We start from the raw sequence: 26110 nt of genomic DNA on the forward strand, positions 1-26110 counted from the left end.
TCAAGTGATTCTCCTGCCTCAGCCTCCAGAGTAGCTGGGATTACTGGTGCCAGCCACCATGCCCGGCTAATTTTTGTATTTTTAGTAGAGATGGGGTTTTTGCCATGTTGGCTAGGCTGGTCTCGAACTCCTGACCTCAGGTGATCCACCCACCTTGGCCTCCCAAAGTGCTGGAATTACAGGCGTGAGCCACTGCGGCTGGCCTCACATTCTCATTTCTAACCCTGCATCAGCCCTCTGGAAGGGAAGGTAGTAGGTGTGAAAAGAGAATGGCCCCCCCATAAGTAGTGATTCTATCTTTATTGCTATGGCCTCTTTTGCTGTAATGAACACAAAGATATATGGATGGCATTTAGAGAATGAAAAATCAGAGATTTATTTCAATGCATATTTCATTCATTCATGCATTCGCCAGTCTTACAATTATTTGTTGAGCATCTGCTGTGGACCAGGCCCTGTGCTGTTTACCAGGCACCGAGAGCCTCCTGCCTTCAGGCAGGCTGTTTAATACAACATACAAACAGGCGTGGTACACATCTTGGAACTAAAATCACTCCAATATTGGCTGTGGGATCCAAGAGAGGACAAAAAAGGTGCACGATGCATTTGTAATTGCATAAGCACCATTATTGTGGCTCTTTCTGACAGGGGAGAACTTCAGCTGTGATTATCAGGCCTTGATAGGAACCGCATCCTCCACTTGCTGTCTTACGTCTGATGGTTGTGAGAATTCCATGGTCCAGCCTCTGGCTGCCTACATTTCAAATCTCTGTCTCTTCCACTTCCACCATCCTTCTAGGGCCCAGCACTGTGGGATGCATCCCATGGCAATAAGGTCACAGGTCCAGAGGACCCTTGTGCTGCGGTGCCCGTGGGTGGTAGGAGCATTCCTGAGGCTGTGTCTACACTGGAGCTTCTAGAGATCATATAAATGTACGAGGAGAGACTGCAGACTGCCTCAGGACCATAGTATGGCTGACAGCAGTTGAAACATTAGTTTTGCAAATTTTACAAAAACATATGACTATGTGAATACTCTGTGGGGCTCCTCCCAGAGCCTAGGGAGGGGTCCCACAAAAGAAGATCTGAAACAGAAGCCAAGTTTTCATCACGATGGCTGCATAGCCAGGTGGAGGGATGGTGAATGTCTACCCTATTTCCAGCCCTTTGAATATTCTTTTTTTTTTTTTTTTCCCAAGACGGAGTCTTGCTCTGTCACCCAGGCTGGAGTGCAGTGGCATGGTCTCAGCTCACTGCAACCTCACCTCCCGGGTTCAAGCGATTTTCCTGCCTCAGCCTCCCAAGTAGCCGGGATTACAGGTGTGTGTCACCACACTCAGCTACTTTTTGTATTTTTAGTAGAGACGGGGTTTCACCATGTTGGCCAGGCTGGTCTTGAACTCCTGACCTTGTGATCCGCCCACCTCAGCCTCCCAAAGTGCTGGGATTACAGGTGTGAGCCACCGCGCCTGGCCCTTTGAATATTCTTGACCACATTTTCCCTGTGGAGGACAAAGGTCATCTCACCTGCCCAGATGCTGCACCCTAGAGGCTGCCTCGGGTCTGTGTTCAAGAGCCATAAACACAGACTGAAGTCAGGCTTCTTTATAATGGCCGATAAAAGATGTGGTGACCTAAATCCTTTCTTCTGTGTTTCCATCTGACCTCCTGCCTTCCTCTCTGTGGCCCAACTCAATTTCCCTACATGGGAATTTTTCTCTGCCAGACTTCTCATGCTGTCCATTTTGTATTTCCAACTCTCATCGCCTTTAATTCTCTTGTAAATCTCATTCTTGTTTTTCCAGTCTTCACTTTTTTAAATTTTTAATTTAATGTAATTTAATTTTTTTGAGATAGGGTCTTGCTCCGTCATCTGGGCTGGAGTGCAGTGGCACAATCTTGGCTCACTGAAGCCTCAATCTCTCAGGCTCTAGCGATCCTCCTGCCTCAGCCCCACAAGTAGCTAGGACCACAGGTGTGTGCCGCTGCCACCACACCCAGCTAGTTTTACAGTTTTTCTTGCACAGACAGGGTCTCACTATGTTGCCCAGGCTAGTCTCAAACTCCTGGGCTCAAGCAATCCTCCCCTCCTTGGCCTCCCAAAGTGCTGGGATTACAGGCTTGAGCCACCGCGCCTGGTCCATTCTTCGCTCTTTAAAGCCTAGGTTGCTCTGCCAGTGCTCTCCTCTCCCATTTTCTTTTTCCTTTGTCCTCCTCCTCCTTCTCACTCACCCTCCCTCTCTCTCTTCCTTTCACCATCTCTCTACATCCAGATCTCTGCCCTCTCTCTTTTCCGCTGCTCTCTGTTTTTGCTTTTTCTCCGTAACTACTGCCTTCGTGTCTTCTGTTTCTTCTACTCCTTTTTTTGTTTGTTTGAGACAGAGTTTCACTCTTGTTGCCCAGGCTCAAGTGCTATGGCACAATCTCGGCTCACTGAAACCTCTGCTTCCCGGGTTCGAGCGATTCTCCTGCCTCAGCCTCCTGAGTAGCTGGGATTACAGGCATGCACCACCATGCCCAGCTAATTTTTGTATTTTTAGTAGAAATGGGGTTTCACCACGTTGGCCAGGCTAGTCTCAAACTCCTGACCTCAGGTGATCCACCCGCCTCGGCCTCCCAAAGTGCTGAGATTACACGCGTGAGCCACCGTGCCCGGCCTGTTTCTTCTACTCCTGACCCTCTCTCCCCATCTTTGCTCGGTACCGCCACTTCTTTCCAAATACAACCCAACTTCCACTCTGGCCTAACATATTTTTCCCTGGTACTCATTCATTGTTTAAGAATGTCTTTGATCTTGGGACACAGCCTTAATGCAAGTTGTTTTTCCTTCCTGTGGTAAGAAAGCTTCAGGAGCCTTTTCCCTTCAGGCTGCAGAACTGGGAGCAAGCACAGCTGATGCCAGCTCCTCCTGCTCCTGTTTTCACAGGTCCTGCCCTCCAGGGGAATGTTCCAGGTACATTCTGCGTCTCAGAGATAATGCAAAAGCCAAAGAGACAAGCACAAGTCAGTTATTTGGGGACCCCTCTAACTGTGTTTTCTTTAGTTCCATCTGTTTCTGTCTGACTTTCTACAGAAACCTACACCCTGTATGCTTTATCACTCAGGGAATAAGTTCTGCTGGAACGTCCTCGATGAGCTATGCATAGCAAAGTTAAGTCTTGTTCCTCAAATAGCTCATTCTCCAGGATCTGTGGACACAAAACAATCACCGTAAACAAGCAGGGGCATGTAAGCAACCAGACGCACAATGCTGACCACAGAGGCGCCTGGTCTGAGAAGGGAGAGCCCAGGGCAAGCCGGAGGAATCACCGACACCTTGCAGGAGAGGAGGGGAGAGGAGGGCTGGGCTGCGCTTGAAGGGAGGAGGGTGCCGTCCACTTCATACCCACAGACCCGCTCTTTTGTCCTAAAACAGGGATGATGTATTTCATATGGAGGAGTTCTGTGTCTCCCCATGTCTCTAGCAAAATTGACTTTTTCTAAGCTGCCCTTGAGAGGATTCAAGTAGCAAAAGTTTCTGTGGTCTTATCACCACCATTAAAGTCATGATTTCAAAGACGAGAGCCGCATGGAAGGAAGTTCTTATCACCTGACCGTAGGGTACAGACACCCCGAGGGGAAGGCCCTGTTGCTGTAGCTGCTGGTTCAGTCGCTTGGAAGGAAGTTCCTATCGCCCGACCCTGGGGAATGGACACCCCAAGGGGAAGGCCCTGTTGCTTTAGTTGCTGGTTCGGTCACGTAGCACAGCCCACTGTCTCATTAGGCTGAAAATATTAGACAAATGAAATCAATTTGAGCAGAATTAATGCCACAGATCGCAGAATTTGGAAGGCCATGAAAGAGAGATCTTCTCCCCAGGGTGAAAGTCAAGGTCTTTCTTGAGGGCAGTTTACCCCAAGAGCCAAGGATTAAAAGTGTGCCCATAATATCCTGCTTTCCGGTTGGTTCAATTTTAAGAACATTTAAGGTCCCGCCATGTGTTAAGAAGTGGGATGGGAGCTTGACCACTGTCTTGCACAACTCAAGGGCACCTTCACAGTATGTCTCATGTCTGTGGACAATGTCACAATATGTCTGCCTGGATGTGTGCTAGGCAAAGGTCCTCACATAGAAGACAGAAGATGCAAAAATAAATGGGTTTGTTGGGGTGTTTTGTTTTGTTTTGGTTTGTTTTTTTGTTTTTCAGAAAGTATCTCACTCTGTCACCCAGGCTGGAGTGCAATGGTGCAATCTCGGCTCACTGCAGATTCCGCCTCCCCAGGCTCAAGCCATCCTCCCACCTCAGCTCCCAGGCCTCCCCCGTCACCAGTAGCTGGGACTACAGGCGTATACCACCACTCCTGGCTAATTTTTGTATTTTTTGTAGAGCCAGGGTTTCACCATGTTGCTCAGGCGGGTCTGGAACTCCTGGACTCAAGTGATCTGCCCACCTCGGCCTCCTAAAATGCTAGGACCTCAGGCATGAGCCACTGCGCCCAGCTGGGGTTGTTGTTTGACGGGTAGACAGTTACCGTTTGGGATGATGAAATTCTGGAAATGGATGGTGGTGACAGTTCTAGTTTGATTTCATGTGACTTAGTGTTGAGACTAAGGCATTGAGACTATGGTACACTTAATGCCACCAAATTGTGTACCTAAAATGGTAAATTTTATGCTATATATTTACCTTGATCAAAATAAACAAAAACAAATGAGAAAAGTCCTTGAACCCAAGAAACTCACAGACCCAGGTGATAAAGGGTGTAAAATAAAATAAGGGCAATGTATAAATAGGCATCCGCCACCCTAAGATCACAGAGTGGGGCATGACTGGTTGGCACGGGATGCTGAATTATCAGTAGATACTACACATTGGATGAACAGGGAGCTTTGAGAGGGATGGTAGTACACCGAGTCTGGAAGCAGGGCTAAGGGTTCATTGGCTGAATAGACCCTAGTATCCTCTGGAATATCCTTAGAAAAGCTTGGACCCTGGCTCTCTTGGTCAAGAAGACTCCATCCACATGGATAGGGTGGATTTGGAAGGGAATACCACACAAGTAGGAAGAAAAGACACTTCTAAAACCAGAAGACTGTCTGCTGGCCAAGGAAGGGTGGAAGACACAGAGAGAAGACCGGAGGTGGCCCTGGCAGGGTGAGAGCTCCTACAGCGGTTCTTCTAGAGGCCAGCCCAGCGGTGGATTGGGAGTCATGCATGGGCAGGGAAAAGGACTTTAAAATTAAGTAATACCAAGGAAACCCTGTCCCTCCTTGACTCATCTTACAGGCCCCACTCCTTTCCTGCCATTGAGAAATTAGGGCTGTAAAACTGACTGATAACCTGGTTCTTGGGAGCTTGATTACAATCACCTGCTTTGGAGAACAATCACAGGCCTAAGAAGAGGGGAAAGGTTTCTAGTAAAGGGTATGGCAGACAACCAAGAATTTTTCTTCTCCTTTCAGGTGAATCTTTTAACCTAATATCCACATTTTTCTAACCAGAAATGAAATTGCATGGTGAAAACATTACTGTTATACTAGGGGAGCAAGAGGACAGAACATTTGAAATTGGAACATTGCTAAAAAGTCCAAATTTGTTACATCCCAATTATACTCCCAGGCTTCCAGAAATATCTGGAGAACAGCAATTTATGGAGAGTTCTGTCCACAGACACAATATGTTTCAGACTTCTGTCTGCTCCTCAGTGAAAGAATCACAGAGGCTTAAAAGCAAATAGTCGCAAGGGACCCAAGAGATAAAAGAGTCCAGCTTCCTCACTGTAATAGAAACACCACCATACCGTGTGCACACTGCTTGGGCATTTAATAAATGCTGGCTTTGGATTGTTTAATACAATAACTCTATAAAGTGGGCATTTTATTATTTCCATTTTATAGATTTTAGAAATGAGGCTCAATTAGATAAAATGAGATGCAGTGCCTGGGTCACATTGCTAGAAAATGAGAGCCCAGTTTTTAAACTTGTATCTTATGACACACTACCCACTGCTCTTTCCATTTAAAAAAAAAAACTTTCTGATCATAAAAGGTAGAATTCTTAACTTTAGATAATTCAGAAGAGGATAAGGAGGAAAATAAAGGGCAGTTAACATAAAATTGGAATCACACTATACACACATTTTATAATTTATATTTTTATATAATATATCATGAACATTTTCCCATACTTCAAAATATATACACTAAGATAGACTATATTCAGGGCCACAAAACAAACCTCAACATATTCAAAAGAATTCACATCTTATAGCGTGTGTTCTCCAATCACATGGAATCAAACTAGAAATCAATAACAGAGAAATGATAGGAAAATCTCATAACACTTGAAAACTAAATAGCACACTTCTAAATAACCCAGAGGTCAAAGAGGAAGTCTCCAGATAATTTTTTAATACATTGAACTGAATGAAAATGAAAATTCAACATATCAAAATTTGTGGCACTCAGCTAAAGCAGTGCTGAGGGGAAAATTCATAGCACTAAATGAATATATTAGAAAAAGGAAAAATTCAAATAAATAATCTAAGCTTCCACCTCAAGAACCTAAAAAAAAAGTAAATCCAAAGAAAGCAGAAATAAAGAAATAAAAACCAAACTCCATGAAATTGAAAACAGAAAAAAATAGAGAAAATCAATCAAGAACTAGTTTTTTTATAAGATCAATAAAATTGGTAAACTTCTAGTAAGACTGACAAAGGAAAAAAGAGGAAAGACATAAATTACAAATATCAGAAATAAAACAAGGATATTACCATAGACCCTACAGATATCAAAAGGATACTCATGGAATGCCACAAAAACTTTATCCACGTAAATTTTGACAACTTAGATGAAATAGACCAATTCCTTGAAAAATGTAAACTATAACAACTCATCAAATATAAAGTAGATGATTTGAATAGCCCTGTAACTATTAAAGAAATTTAATTGGTAATTTTTAACCTCCTAAAAAAGGAAATCTCCAGGCCCAGATGGTTTCCCTGGAGAATTCTGGATTGCTTCCAGGTTTGGGCTATTACAAATAAAACTACTACACACGCTGTGTACAGGTTTTTAAACAAATACGAACTAAGGATAAGTGCAACAACCTAGATGGGTCTTAGTGAATTATGTAGAGTGAAAAAAGCCAGTCCCAAAAGGTTTCACACTATATGATTCCATTTATAACAATCTTGAAATAACAAAATCATAGAGATGAAGAATAGGTTAGCTGTTTCCTGGGATTAAGGTGAGAATGGCACAGGAAGAAAGGGGGCATGGCTATAAAAGGGCAACACAAGTGATCCTTGCAGTGGTGAAAATGTTTTGTTGCTTGACCATATTAAGGTCAATGTCCTGGTTGCTGTCTTGTACTACAGTTTTGCAAACTGCTCCCATCTGGGGAAATTGGTGAAAGATACACAGGATCTCTGCATTCTTTCTTAAAATTCTTTCTTAAAAGATAAAACATTTAATTTTTAAAAATTAAAATAAAATGGAAATCACACTAAACATACATTTGTATTTTATAATTTTTAATATTTCATGAGCATTTTCTCATTGTCTAAAATATTTTTATGTATTATATTTTTTGATTTCTTTATACATCAACTATGGGTGTACTATAATTATTTGATTATTTCTTTTCCTTATGAGCTTGGATTGTTTCAAATTTTTTTATTATTATGAAAACTGATGAGAAGAACTTCCTGGTGCCCTTTTTTTTTAGAAAAAAAATTGTTGAGATATAAGTCACATACCATGTAATTCACTCATTTAAAGTGTACAGTTTAACATTTTAAAAATAATTCAGTGTTGTACAACCCTCACCACAATCTAATTTTAGAATATTTTTGTTCTGCTAAAATAAACATCATACCCATTAGCAATGAATCTGCATCTTCCCAACTTTCCTACTCCAAACTTAAGCAACCCTACTCTACTTTTAGCTTTACAAATTTGCCTATTCTGGATTTATATAAACAAAGTCATAGGATGTGGTCTTTTGTGCCTGGCTTCTTTCACTTAGCGCAGTGTTTTCAAGGGTCATCCATGTTGCAGCAAATATCACTACTTCATACCTTTTTACAGCAGAATAATATTCTACTATATGGATAGATCATATTTTATTTTTTCAATAGTGGTGAATATTGGGGTCTTTTCACTTTTCAGTTAGTATAAATAGTACTGCTATAAACACATACAATTTTTCTGTGTGGACACATGTTTTCATTTTCTTGGGCTTACACCAAGAGTGGAATTGCTGGGTCATACGGTAACCCTATGTGTAACTTTTTAACCTGGTGCCCATTTCTGATTATTTCTTGAAGACACTGTCCTAGAAATGAAAATAATTGGTCAAAGCCCATAGTCACCTTTATGGTTTCTGATTCATATTGCCAAATTACACATCTAAAAATTGTGCCAACTTCTGCTCTCACTGTCGTGCAGGACAATGCTTTCATGGTACAATTATGAACTCCAGAAGGTCTCCATGATCTGATCCTCTGTCATCTGATCTCAGTTTGGGTCCACGGGACTCACGAGGCAGCCCCCTCCTTTTCTAGATCAGGCTTTGTGAAGCAGCCAGAAGACCTGGTTCTCCCAAGCCTGCTACTTGCTGGCCATGTAACCTTGAGCAAGTTATTTCCTCCTCTGCAAAAGGAAGACAATACCCTCCTGCCTACTTCACTCAGACGTTCTGAAGATCGATGTAGCAATGTGGTGTAGACATGCTTTTGTAACGTGGACACACCCAGACAGGAATAAGTCTTGTCCAGGGAATATTTTTTGACAAACACTGCTTAACTGGTTTGTCCTCTGAGTGTCACAACTTTTGGCAGAACTTGGTAGTTGGAGGTCAGTGGTTGGCTGGTTCAGGTATATCTACTTTCACAGAACTTGAGAACAAACAAATTTTTTTCTCATATGAATTTGACTGCACTGCATGATTTTGATGTGTTATTTATTAAGCTGAACAACACACACACACCCACGTACATGTGCACACACACTACCACCAGTGGCCAAGTCAAGGAGGGACAAAGAAGGTGAAGGTGCCCTTGAATCTATTCTTCAACAGTGAAGTTTTTGTTCTTACTGATAAAAGTTCTTCCTTCCATTGAAATGAAACTCTCCCCCCACAGAAATTCTCATCAGTAGTCTTTGCTTGGCCCTCAGTCCTGTGGCCATGCCCCATTGCAAAGTTTTTCTCTAAGACTCTTCCCACAAGCCCAGTGCCTTCCTCTGCAACCAGGAGGACAGTGAGGTCCCCCTGGCCAGCTGATGGCTCCACACCGAGCCCAAGGTGACCTGTGCCTGTTCCCTGGTCAGCATGCTGGCATCTGTACTACTGGGCATTTTTCCATTGGTTCATGGGAGGTCCTGCCTAACTGTGGGATGATGAGAAGACAGAAGAGGCCACTATGACCAGAGGTGGGCCAGTGACCTGGAATCAGGGCTGGCTGTGGCCTCACTGGGTGCTGATGAGCATCTGGCCTGGGGCCTGGGAATGAGATCCCACCAGATGGTCCCCAAGGAGCTGTGTGTGTCCAGTGGAGAAGGCCTGTATCTTACTCAACTTTCTTTGCTAGACCCAGAAGGTTTATTTGAGAGGGGAAGATATTTAATTAAGTAAGATTAGCTGCTAGGTAGTAACTGCCTCCTATGTTCCAGCACTGTACATAGGTCATCTTTAATCCTCACAGCAATCTCCCAAGTAGGCATCACCACCCATTTCTCAGATAAAGAAACTGAGACTCTGCGAGGTTAAGTCACTTGCCTGAGCCCATAAAGCTAGGGCCAGCAGAGCAGCCTTTGCAGCCAGGTCTCACAGACTCCAAAGCCCACACTTTCCTCATTTCATGATCACACTGTCTGTGAGCTGGAGCCCCACACCCAGGGCTGCCCTAGCCCGCTGTGCAAAGGGTCAGCCCAGCAAGAATGGAGGTTCCCGGAGCCAGCAAGGACCCTGCCCAGGGCTGGGTTCAAAGCACCAGCTTTAACAGCTGTCGGAGGGAAAGCAGTGAGCAAATGTGCTCAGTGTCTCAGTCCCAAAAAGGTGGATATGGCCGCGCCCACCTGAGCCGGAGTCCCTCTCCCAGTCCCTGGGTGGCTTGGGCCTTCTTGTGTTTGTTCTGGCTTCTCGCCTTCTCCCCTCTTCCCCTGCAAAGCCCTTTGTGTAATGGGTTTTCCCTTCCAACTCAATCTCAAGAATTGTTTAGCCAAGGAGGGCCCTTGAGTCTCTCCCTGGGTGTTTGTTTTTGTTGAGAGGAAGCGCTAGTTATGAGTCAGTCCACCAGCAGCATATCCGAGAGCAGGCCCAACGCGGTGGGGCGCGTGCTCTGCTGATCCGCAGCCATCCGGGTTCAGCCCAGCCTGGCCAGCAGCTGCGGGTCACCAGCCAGAGCCATCACAGGGCGGGTTGTTAGGAGCAGTGTGTGGCAGGCATGACCCTCCTGGTGGGGGACAGAGGGGACGGTCCCCAGGGAAGGGAGCCACAAGGCAGACCACAAGCTGGACAGAAGTCAGGAACGCAGGCTGAGGAAAACCATTGCAGTTCTGTTCTAGGAGCCCAGAATGCCAGAGCCAAGGACACCCTCCTGAAAGACAGTGCAGCCAACAGAGGCATGGCCCCACCTGGGCAGGAGGGTGCCGGCCGGCTGAAGGTACCAGTGGGCTGATCTACCTGAGGGACTTGGCAAGGCTAGAGGAGTCAAGGCCAACCTGCAGCTCTGGGCGTCCTAGAGCACATGCCAAAGGCTGTCCAACCATTCGGAAGACCAAGCAGCACAGCGTTGTCACCACACACAAAGTCACAGAAGCCTCCCTCTCCAGGTGTGTGATGACCATGAGGACTGGCCCTGGTTCTTCCTGCGGGCCTCACCTGTGTAAAGAATGTCTGTCTTCTATCTACCACCCTCCCAAGGATGCAGTTGAAGGAAAAAGAAGCATAAGACAGATTTTCTGCCCTCCAGAGATGTGGACTAAAAATCGGAATGAAAACATGGATGCACAAAACAGACAACAAGGCAACGCTTTCCATTGTTAACGGTGTGAGTTACAGAGCAGCAGTGTGGGTCAGCGCCTGCTCAGCCAGAGCTGAGTCTTCTCCTGCACTTCAGCACCAGCCCTGCCCACACAAAGTCCTGGGCATCGCACTGCACCAGGAGCTCTGACATGAACAATGCCCAGTGATATTTCACAATCACCCCGCCCTTTTATGTTTTGTCTGTCCTTCTGGGCAGGTGCGGGCTGGGCACTGCCCTGCCTGCTTTTAACAGATAAAGAAATGAGCCCAAAGGAAGAAAAGCTCATAAATGTTCACAACGTCACCTGCTGAGTCAAGGCACAAACATCTGACATTCTCCCCTCTCTGGCTGCCAAAGGAGAGAACTGGGCCTGGCTGGTTAGTTCCACCCCATGAGAGCCCCCCAGAAATGCCCACCTAAGAGACTGGTTCCCCTGCCCATGAGCCTGCCCCCACCTAGCCCAGCCACCTAAGAACACACAGGCTTTCTCCAGCAGCCAGTGTGTCTGGGAGGAGGAGACCTTTTCTTTTTGGCCCACTTGCTGGTTTCTCTCAGCACAGCTGGGCTCAGTGACACTGGATTTTGGGCATTACAAGCACGAGTCTTAGAAGCAAAGGCATAATTGCCCCCCACAGGCATTGTTCCATCTGCTGGAAGAATGAATCAATAATATTGTATTAACCCCAGAAGCAGGGCTGCCATGTTCAGTCTGACAGGTTGCACACTGCACAACTGCAGGGGGGCACCAGCCACATAGTGACCTGCCTGGAAGAATTTATAATTTAATGAGGACAAACAAATCTTAGCATAGATCTCACTGTACTAGAGACAAAAGGGTTAGAATCAAGCAGACTTTTCCACAGCTAGCACTAGGGATGACAGTAAATGACAACAGGCTGGGTACGAGGGGCTTGGTCCCAAGCCCAGCTCAGACAGCAACTAACTGACCTTTGGCAAGAGCCTCGGTCACATCACTTCCAACAAGAAAAAGCACAGGAAAGCCCTGCGGGAGCGTCTAACTTAAGTACTAGGTAGCATCATTTTAAAAGTGAAACTCTGGCTGGACTAACAGCCCTTAGCCGTTCCTTCTGGCTGGGCCGTGGTGCAATTTTTTGATATAACAGGTGGGATCACCAGGGGCAGAGGACTCAGAGATGGGGGAGAGCAGGAAGAGTGAGCTGGGTGAGCCCTGCCCAAACACTCCAAGAACACGGAAGCAAACACACGCCCTTCGACCACTTCGCTTATTTTTTTCACCCCCTCTCAGGCCGGAACAAAGAGCCTTTTTGTGAGTTTAATGGTGTCTGACTTACTCAGCAAACTTTTCTGTCTCCTTTGCTGTGAGGAAAAAAACAAAGCTCTCTGTCCGGTTTGTTAGGTTCCTTTGAAGAGCTTGCTGCTTGGGTTTAGGCAAACAGGAACCCAGCTGGCACCGCCCTGGTCAGGGCGCTTTCTGGGAGACTTTCCCCAGGCCTCGTCTGGATCCGGGCTGAAGAGGGGGTGGAGAGAGGTGGGCACAGAACAAAGGGTGAGGGCACCTAGCAACCTTCCAGGACAGGTGTTACAGCTGATGCTCCTGAGCAAGCTCTACCTAAAGGAGTTCATTGAATCCTCACCACCCCTCTGAGGGAAAGGACCATGTCCCCACTGCCTGGATCAGGAAACGCAGACTGGCCGAGGTCAAGGACTTTGCCAGCGGTCACACAGACAGGGAGTCCACCCCCAACACCTTTACTCTTTCCACTCACTGAGTCCACCCCCACCCCAGAGATCCCCCAGCCTTCGCTCATCCTTTCCTCATCCTCCCAGAACCCAGGATCTGCAGAGCAGGAAGTTCAATAGCCAGGCCTGATGTCGTTAGTCAGTCCTGGGGACAGGCATCCTTTCCTGTCCCCTGTGAGTTCAAATTCCAACTCAAGCAACATACAAACGCCAAACTCAGCTCACACCTCCGGCTCTGAGCTGCAGGGTCCACTTGTGGGGAAGGGGAGACAGCCCAGCTCCCTCCCTCCCTCTCCCTTATCCACACACATACACACACTTGCACACACACAAAGACACACATGCACATGCATGCACACACACACTCGTGCACACACACACGCCTCCTGGCATGCCACAGGGAGATAACGCACACAGCCACCTCCCAGTGACCACAGAGCTCTATCTCAGGGTGACGTCACCTCATACACAGCTCCCAGTTCACTCTAAGTGATTCATCGAGGGCGTAAACTCTGAGGGCGATGGAGGCATCAGGGTACAGAGATGAAGTCAGTTTAGTGCCATTTCCTATCCATGGGCTCCCCAGAAGTAAGAGAGAAAGGAAGGAAGGCCTTTTAAAAGTCCACATTGGAGCCAGTGACTTGTGGCTTTCCCTTGCAGAAAAGAAACTTTGGCAACAGCTAGTAGTCATCTTCTCCTGAGCCCGCCAATCTCACAGCCCCCTCCACACACACACACACACACACACACACACACACACACACACACACAGAGCTGCAGCTGCAGCACTGCCTAGCTGGCCCCCAAACACTGTAGCGCTGAACAGACCAAAGATGGAGACACTAACTGTGATCATCATAACCAGTGTGCACTGAACACTCAGCACGTGCCAGGCTATGCTAAGCCCTTTCCATGTGAAAAAGAAATTTCCACTTGATTCCCACGACAACTCAACAAGGTAGGAACTGTTAAAAGAAAACTTTAGACGAATTAAATTTAAATTAATCTAGCAATCAATTGAGTTTCATTTGAAATGAATTGAGTTTAATTAAGCAAAGGATTCATGAAGTGGGCAGCCCTCAGACCAGAAGAGGTTCCAAGGGCTGAGCTCCACTCCACAGTGTGGGCAGGGAGTGTTTATAGACAGAAAATGGAAGTGAGCTGCAGAGACAGCTCATTGGTCACAGCTTGGTTTGCCGTGTTTGAACATGGACTACTCAGCAGCCACCTGCGATTTATAGAAGCTCAGCTGCTGTGATTGGCTAAGACTCGGCTATTTCTTACAAAAGTACACTCCTAAGCTAGGCCTGCAGTTCATTTGCTGCTAAGGTCGCAGTTGGACTCAAAGTGCAGAGGCATCCTCAGACCAAATTTGGTTTAATTTAACCCTACCATTATTCCCATTTTTCAGATGAGGAAAGTAAGGCTCAGAGCTCGGGTAACGCCTCCAAACTCCCACATCTAGTGAGTGGCAGAAGAGCCGTGGCCAAAACCTGCGCTTTCTGGCCGGAAAGCCCAAGCTCTTCCCCGCTCCAGCGTGGAGCTTCTCTGCCATTTGAACCACCTGTGCTCAGATGACTCTCAGCCCTATCCTGCTCTGCTTGGCCGGGCCCAGAGCCCATCCCATTCCATCTCCTCCATCCCCGCTTCCTTCCATGTTGTCCCCTGCAGCTTCTTGTCTGCACCACACTGTGGAGTCCAGCAAGGTGACTCAGGGAAGGGACAGGAGATGCAGCTACCTCCTGGTTCCTGGAAGCTTCTGACATCCCAGGTGGCCTCTGAAGATCTGCAGAATAGGGTGGGTGTGGGAGCCCAGGTGGAGAGAGGCTGTGGTCAGCTGCATAGTATCACCCCCAAAGATGCCCTCCTCCTGATCCCTGGAGCTTGGGAACACGTGACCTCCCTTTGTGGGGGTGATTGGGTTATGAACCTGGATCTGGAGAGATGACCCTGGATTATTGGGTGCACCAGGAGTCATCCCAGAAGCGCCTTATAAGAGGCAGGCAGGACTCAGCGCTGATGGTAAGAGTCAGTGGAGAAAGAAGTACCTTATAAGAGGCAGGCAGGACTCAGCGCTGATGGTAGGAGTCAGTGGAGAAAGAAGCAATGCCAGGAAGGGGCCTCAAGAAGCCAAAGAGGCAGAAAGATTCTCCCCTGAAGGGTCCGGAAGGAACCAGCCCTTCCAGCACCTTGGTTTGGACTTCCGACCTGCAGGCTGCGGGAGCGACATTTGCGTGGTTTAAACCACTGTGTTTGTGGCAATTTGTTGCAGCCACCCCAGGAAACTAGTCCAGAGAGCACACCAGAACCTCGGGGACTTATTGGCGACTATGCTAGGCGGCTGGGGCGGCCTCAGCAAAATGCCCCAGGCTGCCGGCTTGACCAACAGAGACAGATGCACTCACAGTTACCAGCACTGGCAGGGCTGCTTCCTCCAAGGCCTCTGCCCTCAGCTTGCAGATGGCCGCCCCTTTGCTGCCTCCTTGCACGGCCAGTCCTCCAAGCCACCTGCCCCTGGAGTCACCCTCTGGGAGTCCTAATGTCTTCCTGTAAGGACACCCATCAGACTGGCTCAGGGCCCACTCACATGACCTCATTTTAACTTAATTACCTCGGCAAAGACCCTCTTTCCAAACACAGTCACAAACCAGGTGGAACTGGTTTGGGCTTGCCTGGAGAACTGGTTGGGGCAGGCCAGGTGAGAGGTGAAGGAGGGCAGGAGGGTCCCTGAGAGATGGCTCAGCCTAGGAGCAGAAGGACCAGGTCTGAGTGAATCTGTCAGGCCTGGGGTGACTCACCACATTTCTCTTCCAGGCCAGACCTCCGCCGCCGGCCTCATCTCTTAGGCCTAGTGGGGCCTCCAGAAGACAGAACCCCACAGCCTCATCTCTTAGGCCTAGTGGGGTCCCCAGAAGACAGGGGCTGACAGGTGGTCCTGCCTTACAGCAGAGGGGACCAGAAGGCCGCTGTGCAAGGGGCTCAGTGATTTTAACCTAAGCCCGTGTGCTTCACTGCTGGGAATCTGTAAATGACGGCTGGGGGGGGTCTGTGCAGGGACATTAGCAACAGAGACAGGGGCCAAGGAGATGTGGGTACATGCACCTGTCAGGGTCACCCAGGACTCCAGAGCCTGAAGGTCCCCAGCACCACCCAGGCTCTCTAAGGTGCACCTGGCCCAGCTCACATTCCCAAGCCAGCCAAGTGACTCAGAACGCCACCCCCCACCACAGCCTCCCCTCGTTGACCACAGCCTCCCCTCGTTGACCACAGCCTCCTGTCTCCACATGACATCGAAACTGTCTCTTCTCTCCCGGACAGGAGGGGAGGAATCTGCACAGACAAGGGCCAGGGTTCAGACAGAAGACAACGCCCACACCAGCCACTTGGATCCGGAAGATTCCTGTACACACTTGCATGGGTGTAAAATTACTAACCTGGTGGCTAAAGAGGTAAACAGGAGCTCTGAGGTGTCACCCCTGAGGCTGAGGAGGCAAAGGGAAAAGGTTGGGATTCTTCAAACGTGGAAACTTGGAGGTAGGGGCTGTGGGCCTGGGCCCCTAACCTTGAAGGAAGGGGTTCCAGCTGTAAAGTGTCTGAAGTGGGTGCAAGGAAGTTGCATTTGCAAGTGCTGGAGAAGCTGCAAAAAGAGTCAGCCTCTGCCACTGAAAGAAGCCGCTGCTGCGGGGGCGGGGGGTGCCCACAGGGAAGAAACAAACTCTAGGGTGTGGGTTTCTGCTCAGGCTGGGCAAGTATCTTTATGAAAGGGACCTGCATAAAGCGTCCATAAAACCTGCCCCTTTGCATCCTCTAAGCCAGCAGGTTCCCCATGCCTCACCCCTCTTTCCTGAACTCCTCTTCACCCCAATCCCCATTCCTAGCACCCCCTAAGGACAGGCTGTGCCCTGACAACCGTCCATCTCTACCCAGCTGAGACCTCTGTCCAGGGCGATGGTTGCAGGACCATGCAGACACGGAAGTTTGCTGAGATCCCACTCCAACTGCCTGCTCTCAGATTCTGAGTATTTCTCTAGCCCCCTCATAAAAACACAGGTCACTTTCACACTGAAAGTAAAAGATCCCTCCTTAAGTCCTTCATCCTGCATCTCCACCACCCGCCAGGCCCTGCCCTGGCAAAAAGTCTCACAGCCTTTTAAGGTGACCCGAGGACCCAACTCTGTCTCTTTCTCTCCTCTCTGTGCTTCAGCTTGTTTCCTGGCCACCAGCAAGGTCCCTCTTTGGTCTGGGAGGTAGGTGTCTGCAGGACACTGGGAGGATTTAAATACAATGATCAGTGTGGGGCCCCGAGAGGGCCTGAGACAGGATTTCCACTGATTGCCAACGTTCAATACGGACCCCTAGGAGACAAGCAGGAACTCCTGTTCTTATCCACACCTCTGCAGAACGGCGGAGACCACTCAGCCATGAGAGTGGCCTCTACCATTTCAGAGAGTAGCCGAGGAGGGAGCCATCCTCAGCCACTGCTGTGTGGTCGGTGGGCCTGGTTTCCACACGTCACAGAGCCTGGCACCAGACCGGCTAAGCATGGGCCTTCGTGGCACAGGCCCAGGAAGCTTCGAGTCCCAAGATTTAATTTTGTTTTCTGGGCCTTTTGAAAGAAAACGTTGTCATCAATGATTGCTCTCTAGCACGTGTCTGAAGAGCGGCCACCAAAAGGAGCCACTGCTGCAGGGGTGTCCACGCGCGCAGGGAAAGAACGGACTCCAGGGGCTGGGTTTGCTCTTGGAGAATGAGGTCGTCAAAACCTCACTTCGTGGGGAAGTCTGGAAAAGACAGTTTCCTGCTTTGTTCATCGTGGGCAGCAGGAAACGGTGCAGCCTCCAGTGAGAATGATTCCAGGAGGGTGTAATGGGGCGAGGTATGAAGGGGTAGGCAGTGTGGGGAACCACCCACCCGGGCCATGTAGCTGGCACCGTGGTAATTTAAGAGACCTGGAGAGATAGGGGAGGGATGGTCAGGGGACTTGGAAAAGGAGGAAAGAGGTGGGGAGGAGCCCAGCGGGAAGGAGATGCCTCATCACACCCTCCTCCCTCCCAGCCCCACAGGCTCCCACTGGCTGAGCCAGCCAGAGCCAGAGAGCACAAGGTCCCCCACGATGGCCCCCGCCGGTCAGTGTCCTGGGGGAGGAGGGGGTGCACCTGGAGGGGCAACTGGAAGGCACCCAGGACCCCCCAGAACCCCTTGGGCAGCCCCAGCTTGAACTGCAGGGAATCTGCCATTCAAGATGGCTGCTAGAAAATGGCGATTCTACCTCCCAGGTGACTCCAAGGGCTCTTACCCAGAGTCCTGAATAGCCACAGCCCAGCCCAGGAGTCCTAAAAGGAATTCTAGAGTGACCCGGATGGTTGTAAGGGCCTGAGAATGATCTGTGCCGTTCGGCAGAGACCCAAGTGCTCTCGGAGTGACCCAAACCTCAGGGCTGAGAACAGCTCGAGGTTCACCTGGACTTACCCCTGCTCCCCCACAGATCCTCGGTGCACCCTGGGATTTCCACAGCCACGTGGATTTTAAGCCAAATCCAGGATGATCCCATGACACACAGGTCTCAGCTCCCCATGGGGCATTTCTCTCCAAGACCACCTTCCTCCCCAGCTCACCGTCCACGTCTACAGAGCCATGCACCTCCGTGGCAGAGCTGAGTGCACGTGGCACAGAGTCAGGGCTGACATTGAGCAGGGCACCCTTGGTCTCCCCCAAGACCCATCAGAGTGTGCCTGGCACTGCCTTTCAATAAAAAGCCCAGGGTCTGAGCAGGGTGGGGCGTCTCCCCTCCCCCAGCCAGGATGAAGGTCAGAGCTGAATTTGCTCAGTTCAACACCAAAAACAGTCCTGAAGGAAAATGTGTTGAGCTTGGCTGTAAGCCAGGTCGTTAAACATGGATTCTGATCACAGATCGTTTCTGCTAATTAAACAAATATTTTTGCAGAGCTGTCTCGGTTTCCGCTGTTGCCGTTGGCCTAAGTTGCTGGCAAACCATTGGAGCCATGCCCCGAAAGTCAGCTCAGATCAGAGGAGAACACACAGAACTTTTGAAGGAACAGCTAAGACAGGTCTTCCAAACAGAGAGCTCTGTTCAGAGAGAAGGAACAGGCAAGAAAACACCGACACCTCCAGCCCTTACAGTCACCAAGCTGTACTTTCAGATTCCTGCTGACATACACACACACACACACACACACACACACACACACACACTCTCTCTCTCTCTCTCAATCCCTCCCTCTCTCAGAATGCATAGTCCTTCTCCCTGCCTCCATCTCTAAAGCTACACCTGCACACACAAATAAGCATTCTAGCAGTGCAATCACTATTCCAAGTTTGAAGACTCGTGTGTGTGTGTGTGTGTGTGTGTGTGTTTTCCTGCTGAAGTGGAGAGAAAAGGGCCAGACAGGATGGGCCCTGGGTCCCCATGTGACGTACCCCAGCAGGGGTCCTTTGCTCCTTCAAAAATGCAATTATCACAAACTTCCCTCGCCCTGGACCGCGGTTCCAGAGAAACGCCCATGCACATAATGTTTTGGTACAAGTTCAGGGTGTTCGTGAACTTTCTGAAGCCCGCCAAGAGCGCACTGCGAGTTCCAAGTTTAGAATACCAGTCCTGGGGAGTCAGGAAGCGTTTGCAGCCTCTGAACTGTCCGCAGAACTGTCAAGCACCCAAGGCTCGTCCTCTCTCAGCAGCTCCGAAGCCCCCTGGACTGCAAGCACTCAGCACCCAGAGCCTTCCCTGCCATGCCCCAGCCCTGAGGTGTCCTTTCACACTCCGGACCCCCCGGCCTTTCTCAGAAAACGCTCCGTGCTGCGCTGTGTTGTCCCCACTTGTTGCACAAGAGTAGTAGCGACAGCAATGCTGACCAGGCCTGGTTGCACACAGCCCCCTGCCCCAGGTCCAGGGCTGCACCAACACCCCATGCCCGTGGACACATCGGCAATCTTGAACCCCAGACATCTTGTCTATCACTTGAGACAAGGGGATTGCATCAGCAGCTTCACACTCTTTTCCTTTCTTTATGTTTTAGATTTGGAGTCTCTGTCACAGGCACAGGCTGTGGTGAGCCATGATTGTGCCATTGCACGCTGAACAGGCTGGAGTACAGTGGCATGATCATGGCTCACCACAGCCTTGAACTCCTGAGCTTAAGTCATGCTCCTGCCTCTCAGCCTCCTGAGTAGCCGGGACTACAGGCCTGCACCACCACACCAGGCTAATTTTTAGATTTTTTGTAGCAACAGGGTCTCGCTATGTTGCCCATGCTGGTCTCAAACTCCTGGGCTCAAGCAATCCTCCCACCTTGGCCTCCCGAAGTGCTGGGATTACAGGTGTGAGTCACGGCACCTGGCAACACTTTTTTTTAGCCAAGAGCCCTTCCGATGGACTCTCATGAGTTAAGCCAGTCTATAAAGCACAGCCAAGCAGCCAAGCTGCAGTTGAAGAGGGGATGGGAGAAGACCTCCCACCGACCCCCAGGTCTCTGAGAAGCACAGCTGGAAGACTCTGGCCCTCTAGCCCACAGCCTCCTAAATGCCCTGGGCTCAGCCATGTTGTGACACTGGGATTTCTCAGGGACCTCAGACCTACACATCTCCCTCCCAGCCAACCCACCACCCCCATGCCATGCCCAAAACCAACACTCTCCTTGACGAGTTATGCAATCCTTCTTTCCAGATCATTCTGTGGTATGTAATCTAACAAACTAGCCATGCTTAAGGGTTCGGAGGGAGTGACGGGGTTAATGAGCTGGTTCTACCCCTCAAGGAGGATTTTGCACTTGTAATGGGGATCCCCTTACTCCAAGGGAGAACTGCTCAAATATATTTTTTGCATGTTTTTAAATTTCAAAAGTAAGGTGTGATTTTGATAAGCAACGACTATACTATAGAAATACCTTGTTTAGGAGATGAAAATGTCCCCTGCCTCCCCCTCCAAATTCAAGCCTTTTAGGTAAAGCAATACTTGAATGACAGGCACGGTGGCATTTGTGTGCAAGGAGAAGACTGGGTACCACCAAGTCCCGGGGTGGACGCCGACTCCTTCCATGGTTCTGCCTGTGCCGACGCTGCCAGGAATGCTCCCCAGGGGCTCAGGAGTGAAGCTTCGTGGACTCTATGCCTGGCTTCCTGAGCAGGTACAATTCCGAGCACCTCGGGCTGCTCCTCTCTGGCTCCTGCCACCTTCCTGAGACAAAGGGTCAACCCTCAGCTGACCTCGCAAGGGTGGGAACAAAACCATAAAAGGATAAGACATCTCCTGATTAGAAAGTGATGACTGGGCTCGTGAATGCCAGACCATGTGGGGCTGAGTGACAAGCAAGAGCTTCCTCATCACCAGGGGTCAGGGGTCTCTTGGCCATGGGCAGCAGGCACTCATTCCTTCCACACTGTTCTAGGGGAGAAGAAAATAAAAACCAACGCTCCAAGGAGCTTTTGATTTATTAATAGTTGGGCTGGCAAGAAATAAGGACTTAGAGATTCAAAACTTCGATGGCTTCGAGTCCAGGCCACGCGGCTGTGTGGTCTCTGCTGGAACATCCTTGGTGGCGGAAGCTCTGCGCCTGGTGCTGGAGGAGGCCTGAGGATCAGGAGATCTTCCTCCAGGGAGCCCACTCCTCCACCCCTGTGGCATGCAGCACTCACCCCACAGGCTTCTGCCTGGCTGCCCCCATATGGAAGCTTCCAGGGCAAGCCCAGAGGTTCCCTGCTCCCAGCCCTTGGTCCTGCCACTGCACCCAATAAAACATCCCCATCTCACATGAAAACGGCCCTCTGAGGAACCCGGCGTCTTTCCGGAGGGAGGTTCCTCTCTAACACCGGGGCTTCCCTTGGGGTCTGCTCACCCAGGCTTCTATGTCCTCGGCGTGTCCTGTTTTCTGAGCCCAGGGAATCTGGGGGCACGTCAGATCTCAGTGTTGGGGAGCTGCCGCCAAACAATACATCAAAGCCGGTTTCTTTTCAAAGTAGAGGCTGTCTTATTATAATTCAGGGACAAATTCTAACTAAGTTTCCAGAAGGAGGCCCCGGTGTGGAGGGGCCTGTCTCTCCCTGAGCGCCTGCGTCTCCTGGCTCCACCAGGCCTCTCACCAAATGGTGTTTTGCAGCCTCTTTTCCCTTGGGAGGGTCTGGGAGTGGACAGGGCATGTCTTCCCCTTTCCCCGAGGGAAGGGTAGGAAAGGAGTTGCTCTTTGCCCCCGCATTCCAACTACCAGCCAAGGGAGCAGGTCCTGAGACCCCCCGCTGGGCTGCCTGGCTGAGGGGTATCTGTCCCTGAGGCTGCCAGGAGGCTGTGCGACACGTGGCCGGGAAGCTCAGTGCTCCAGGGAAGAGGCCTGAGAGCAGCGCCCCTGGGGGTCTCTGGGCAGAACCAGGAGAACCGGCCAGCGTCACTCAACAGTGTGCCCTGTGGCATGTCGTGGGGAGCGCAAGGGTCCCCGGAGCTGAGTGGGTGCTGCAGAGGAGCTGGGCTCATCGGGAAGGAGGTGGCCGGGGAGGGGCTGGGCTCATCGGGAAGGAGGTGGCCGGGGAAGGGCTGGGCTCATCGGGAAGGAGGTGGCCAGGGTGACCACGGCAGGAAGATGCAGGAGGCACAGAGAGGCCGGAGGGGTCATCTGCCCATCAGGGAATGCTGTGGTGCTGAGGACCCCGTATGCTGCTGGGGGTGTTCCTCCAGAGAACTCACCATTATGTAAATGCAGCCCCCACCCAAGAAAGCTGGCGCCAGCTTCCCAGGGTGAAGGCAGCACCCGGAACCAGCAGCACCATGTCCCCTCACCCTGTCCTCTTTGCTCTGACCCCCAGAGGAGCCTGGGCGGAGGCAGCAGGGGTTAGTCCAGAAGCTAGAAGGGCAAGCGGTGGGGGCAAGGGCACTGCACAGGGCTGGACGCCACCCCCACGCTGCCTCCTTAGCCATTTGCCCCCACCCCTGACTGCAGCCCCAATCCTCCACCACTGGGGAAGGAGTCGGTGCCCTCGGCCACCTTCCTGGAGGCAAGCTGCTGCCCAGGAGGGAGAGGCGAGGCCACTGTCCCCAGGAAGGAGACTCGGCTGCCTTCACACCCTCAAGCTGTGCCAGGGCACAGGAAGAGCACCCACCTATCTGGCAGGTGCACCTCTAAGGTCGCCTTCCTCTGGAGGGCCCCCGACGTCCCCTCAGAGGGAACAGGCTCTCTGGAGCCCGGGTGGTACTGGGCTGCTCCTGAGTAACTGAGCAGACTCAGGAACCCCAGGTCCTGCCCTTCGTCCAGTTCCCAGTTGCCCTGGACAAAGAGTGAGTGTATCTGACACATCAAAAATCCTCCAAAATATTTACTGAATTTAGTTTAAAACAAGGAGTGCACTGTCTGAGGATAGCTCTGGTGTTCTCAGCATCAATTCTCTCCCAAGTCTTCCTTATAGGGGAGACGTGTCCTTGCAAACACAACTCAGCTTTATGAAAGTACGTGGTTTTTTTGCTTATTTTGTTTTTTGAGGCAGAGTGTCTTGCTCTGTCACCCCAGCTGGAGTGCAATGGTGCGACCTCAGCTCACTGCAGCCTTGACCTCCCCGGCTCAAGTGATCCTCCTGCCTCAGCCTCTTGAGTAGCTGGGACCACAGGCATGCACCACCACACCTACCTAATTTGTGTATTTTTTGTAGAGATGGGGTTTCACCGTGTTGCCCAGGCTGGCCTCAAACTTCTGGGCTCAAGAGATCCTCCTGTCTCGGCCTCCCAAAGTGCTGGGATTACTGGTGTGAGCCACCGCGCTCGGCCGGTACACATTTTATTAAAGGCACAAGCTTTTTTATGGGTCTCCCCCTCTACCCAGAATGCCTTGGTGTGTTGCTTCATAAGTTGAGAATAATATGCTGGCAAATATTTTAGAGTGTAGACCCTCCACGCAGGTATGCACCAATCATTGCCGTCTCTGAATGTTTTATCTCTGATTAAGCAGCGTGGATTTTTTTTACTGTTCCCCAAAATACACACTGCCTCGGGGAGCACCCACTATCGGGGTAGCTGAGGGTAACCTGGACCATACAAATATTTAATCAAACTGCACCTCCTGGGAATTCCTAGTGTGGGTGACGCACCCTCCCTCATAATGAAAATCTTTTACCCCGATCCTGCAGTCACACCTCCTCCCACAGACCTCCACATGCAGGCTTTTTCCTTACCACACACATGCTGTCTGGAGAGGAAGCCAAGAGCCCTTCCAGAGAGGAGACTGTGAAGAAACCGAATGTCTAAATAAAGTCAAATCTTCTCTGTGCACCTTGCAATCATCATTCAAAGAACATTGCACACATACCCTCCTGCTCTATATTAAGTACACCTTCCCTGCTGGCTCAAAACAACCCCGAGGCTTGGGGGTAGGCACGGCCATAAATAAAGCGTGCTTTAAGCTGGCTCTAATTTAACTAGAGTCTTTGGCGAGGGGAAATGCAAAGAATATTTAAACAATGACACACAACCAAAACTAACAGGCAGGCCTCAAAGGGGTTCGTCATTTTTTTTCCATCTAAAATTAAATTTCGTGGGTTTTTTTTTTTGCAGAACTTTGACTCAATTGCTTCAGGTTCTTGTCTGAAACATATTTGAGTCCCTCTCTCTTGTCTCTGTCTCTCTGACTCTCTCTCTGATCTCTCTGAATCTCTGTCTCTGATCTCACTAACTCTTTCTGTCTCTGTCTCTGTCTCTCTGTCTCTCTGATCTCTCTTTCTGACTCTCTGTGTGTATGTGTCTCTCTCTCTTTCCCAGACCTCCGCCCCCCACAGTTTTATCTCCAGACAGTGTGTGTGAGACAGGAAAGGGTCAGCGTGGGGGGATGGGGAGTGCCTGAAAGATCTAGGAGTGATGGGTTGACATTGTTCAGAGATTAGAGATTATTGGAAATAAGTTGGAAATGCTCTTCTGAGAGCTTTGGACTTCTTGAAAGAAATATATTCTATTTTGTTTAAAACAGCCTTGCGATCAACCAGTCAATCCATAGCTGCTTGTTGAGAACAGCGGGAAAACGGAAACATGATATTGGCGCTCAGAGAGCTTGGCTGGAGCTCCAGAGACCAGGGAAAATCTTCAGTGGCCAAAAGCACAACACGACACCTTACGGTGAGGCACGGACCGGACCAGACAACATCCATCTTCCTTTCCTCAAATCTGAGACAGTCCCAGAAGGGTGGGACCCAGAGAGGGGCAGATACAGGCCACACTCTACAGCCAGCAGTCAACACACCCATCCCCCAGAGGATGGTCCTGGGCCCAGACCTGGCAGAGAATGCAGGGAGACCCTCCGGGAGGGGCTCGCCCAGGGCCAGGGACCCAGTCGTCTGGAGACAGTCAGATGAAGCCTGCACGGGTTGACTTCTCTCTGTCATTCAGCTGTGCGTTTGGGGGCACCTGCTGGTATATGGCAGTGTGCACCATGGAGGGTGTGAAAATGAACTCAGAGTTTGCGCCTCAGGTTCCCAGAGGACTTTGCTCATGTCCCATACGGCCACTCACCCTGCATCCTATGTGTTTACAGAATTCTCCAACCCAGCATTCAGATCCAACTACATCTCCTGAGCCCCCAGCCCAGGCCCTGGCCCATGCCAGGCATGCAGGGGCTGGATGAATAAGACAGAGTCCAAGCCTGCAGGACTAAAGGCCCTGCCCAAGGGTAACACAGGCCCTCGAAGCCATGGCGTCCAGCAATAGGACAGTGTCACCCACTAGTTGGGGAGCCACAGGACCTCTGGAGGGGTGAGGGTGCCCGGAGGGTGCATGAGATGCTTCGGAGGGAAAGTGACTTCCCAGGAAGCCCTTGGACAAGGCTGGGAGCCTCCACTGCAGAGAGGGGAGGAAGAGGGTCCCAGGTGAGGAGAAATGAATGTAAAGGGCTCCGGAGCAATGGGGACAGGCGGCCACGCAGCGCTGGAGCAAGACGTGCACGGAGGAGCCAGGAGGTGACGGGAAGGGCCCTGGAGCAGGTGCCAAGGAGGCCGGACGCCCTGTGGGCCGTGTCCCTCCTGCCCTGTGCTGCGGTCCTCACACCACCAGTGACCACAGCAGGAGTAACGACGCCCAGCTTCACTGTGGGCCGGGCGCGGGACAGGCGTTGCTTTGAGCCTTTTTCTGGAATTGATCCTTTAATCCTCACAAACGCTCTGTGGGGAGATCCCTCTATTTTACAGATGAGGAAACCCAGTCTCAGAAAGGCTGAGCTGGCATCCCAAAGTTGAGGAGCCCAAGATGGCAGAGTGACTCCAAGCCCTGCCCCTCTCCTTGCGTCCCCCCACCCCCGTCCTCCTCTCCTGGTGTTACCCTCCAGGTCCCCTTCGCCTGGCATTCCCCCTACAGGTCTCCACCTCCTGGTGTCCCACTCAGGTGCACTCTCCTGGTATCCTCCCAG

The 26110-nt window shown here is 50.3% G+C and overlaps 1 long non-coding RNA gene across 1 annotated transcript, besides 6 other annotated features; it reads right to left on the reverse strand.

Annotated features, from left to right (window-relative positions):
• Window positions 3272–3771: an enhancer, noted in NCBI's record as "H3K4me1 hESC enhancer chr10:5581099-5581598 (GRCh37/hg19 assembly coordinates)". NCBI's record gives its function as "activates a minimal SCP1, AML or CMV promoter by ChIP-STARR-seq in primed H9 embryonic stem cells {active_cell/tissue: H9 hESC(primed)}" and the evidence as "EXISTENCE:reporter gene assay evidence [ECO:0000049][PMID:30033119]".
• Window positions 10508–11007: an enhancer, noted in NCBI's record as "H3K4me1 hESC enhancer chr10:5588335-5588834 (GRCh37/hg19 assembly coordinates)". NCBI's record gives its function as "activates a minimal SCP1, AML or CMV promoter by ChIP-STARR-seq in primed H9 embryonic stem cells {active_cell/tissue: H9 hESC(primed)}" and the evidence as "EXISTENCE:reporter gene assay evidence [ECO:0000049][PMID:30033119]".
• Window positions 13754–16213, reverse strand: LOC105376380 (uncharacterized). The gene is made up of 4 exons (XR_930611.3): window positions 16166–16213; window positions 15137–15278; window positions 14780–14946; window positions 13754–14517 (listed from the first exon to the last, which is right to left on the reverse strand). It is a non-coding gene; the product is annotated as an uncharacterized LOC105376380 (long non-coding RNA).
• Window positions 17637–18160: an enhancer, noted in NCBI's record as "H3K27ac-H3K4me1 hESC enhancer chr10:5595464-5595987 (GRCh37/hg19 assembly coordinates)". NCBI's record gives its function as "activates a minimal SCP1, AML or CMV promoter by ChIP-STARR-seq in primed H9 embryonic stem cells {active_cell/tissue: H9 hESC(primed)}" and the evidence as "EXISTENCE:reporter gene assay evidence [ECO:0000049][PMID:30033119]".
• Window positions 18161–18683: an enhancer, noted in NCBI's record as "H3K27ac-H3K4me1 hESC enhancer chr10:5595988-5596510 (GRCh37/hg19 assembly coordinates)". NCBI's record gives its function as "activates a minimal SCP1, AML or CMV promoter by ChIP-STARR-seq in primed H9 embryonic stem cells {active_cell/tissue: H9 hESC(primed)}" and the evidence as "EXISTENCE:reporter gene assay evidence [ECO:0000049][PMID:30033119]".
• Window positions 21887–22209: a silencer, noted in NCBI's record as "fragment chr10:5599714-5600036 (GRCh37/hg19 assembly coordinates)". NCBI's record gives its function as "represses an EF-1alpha promoter that drives an FKBP-Casp9 reporter gene in an ReSE screen in HepG2 liver carcinoma cells {active_cell/tissue: HepG2}" and the evidence as "EXISTENCE:reporter gene assay evidence [ECO:0000049][PMID:32094911]".
• Window positions 24866–25367: an enhancer, noted in NCBI's record as "H3K4me1 hESC enhancer chr10:5602693-5603194 (GRCh37/hg19 assembly coordinates)". NCBI's record gives its function as "activates a minimal SCP1, AML or CMV promoter by ChIP-STARR-seq in naive H9 embryonic stem cells {active_cell/tissue: H9 hESC(naive)}" and the evidence as "EXISTENCE:reporter gene assay evidence [ECO:0000049][PMID:30033119]".

This window comes from Homo sapiens, chromosome 10 (assembly GCF_000001405.40).
Source record: "Homo sapiens chromosome 10, GRCh38.p14 Primary Assembly".
NCBI classification, from domain to species: domain Eukaryota; kingdom Metazoa; phylum Chordata; class Mammalia; order Primates; family Hominidae; genus Homo; species Homo sapiens.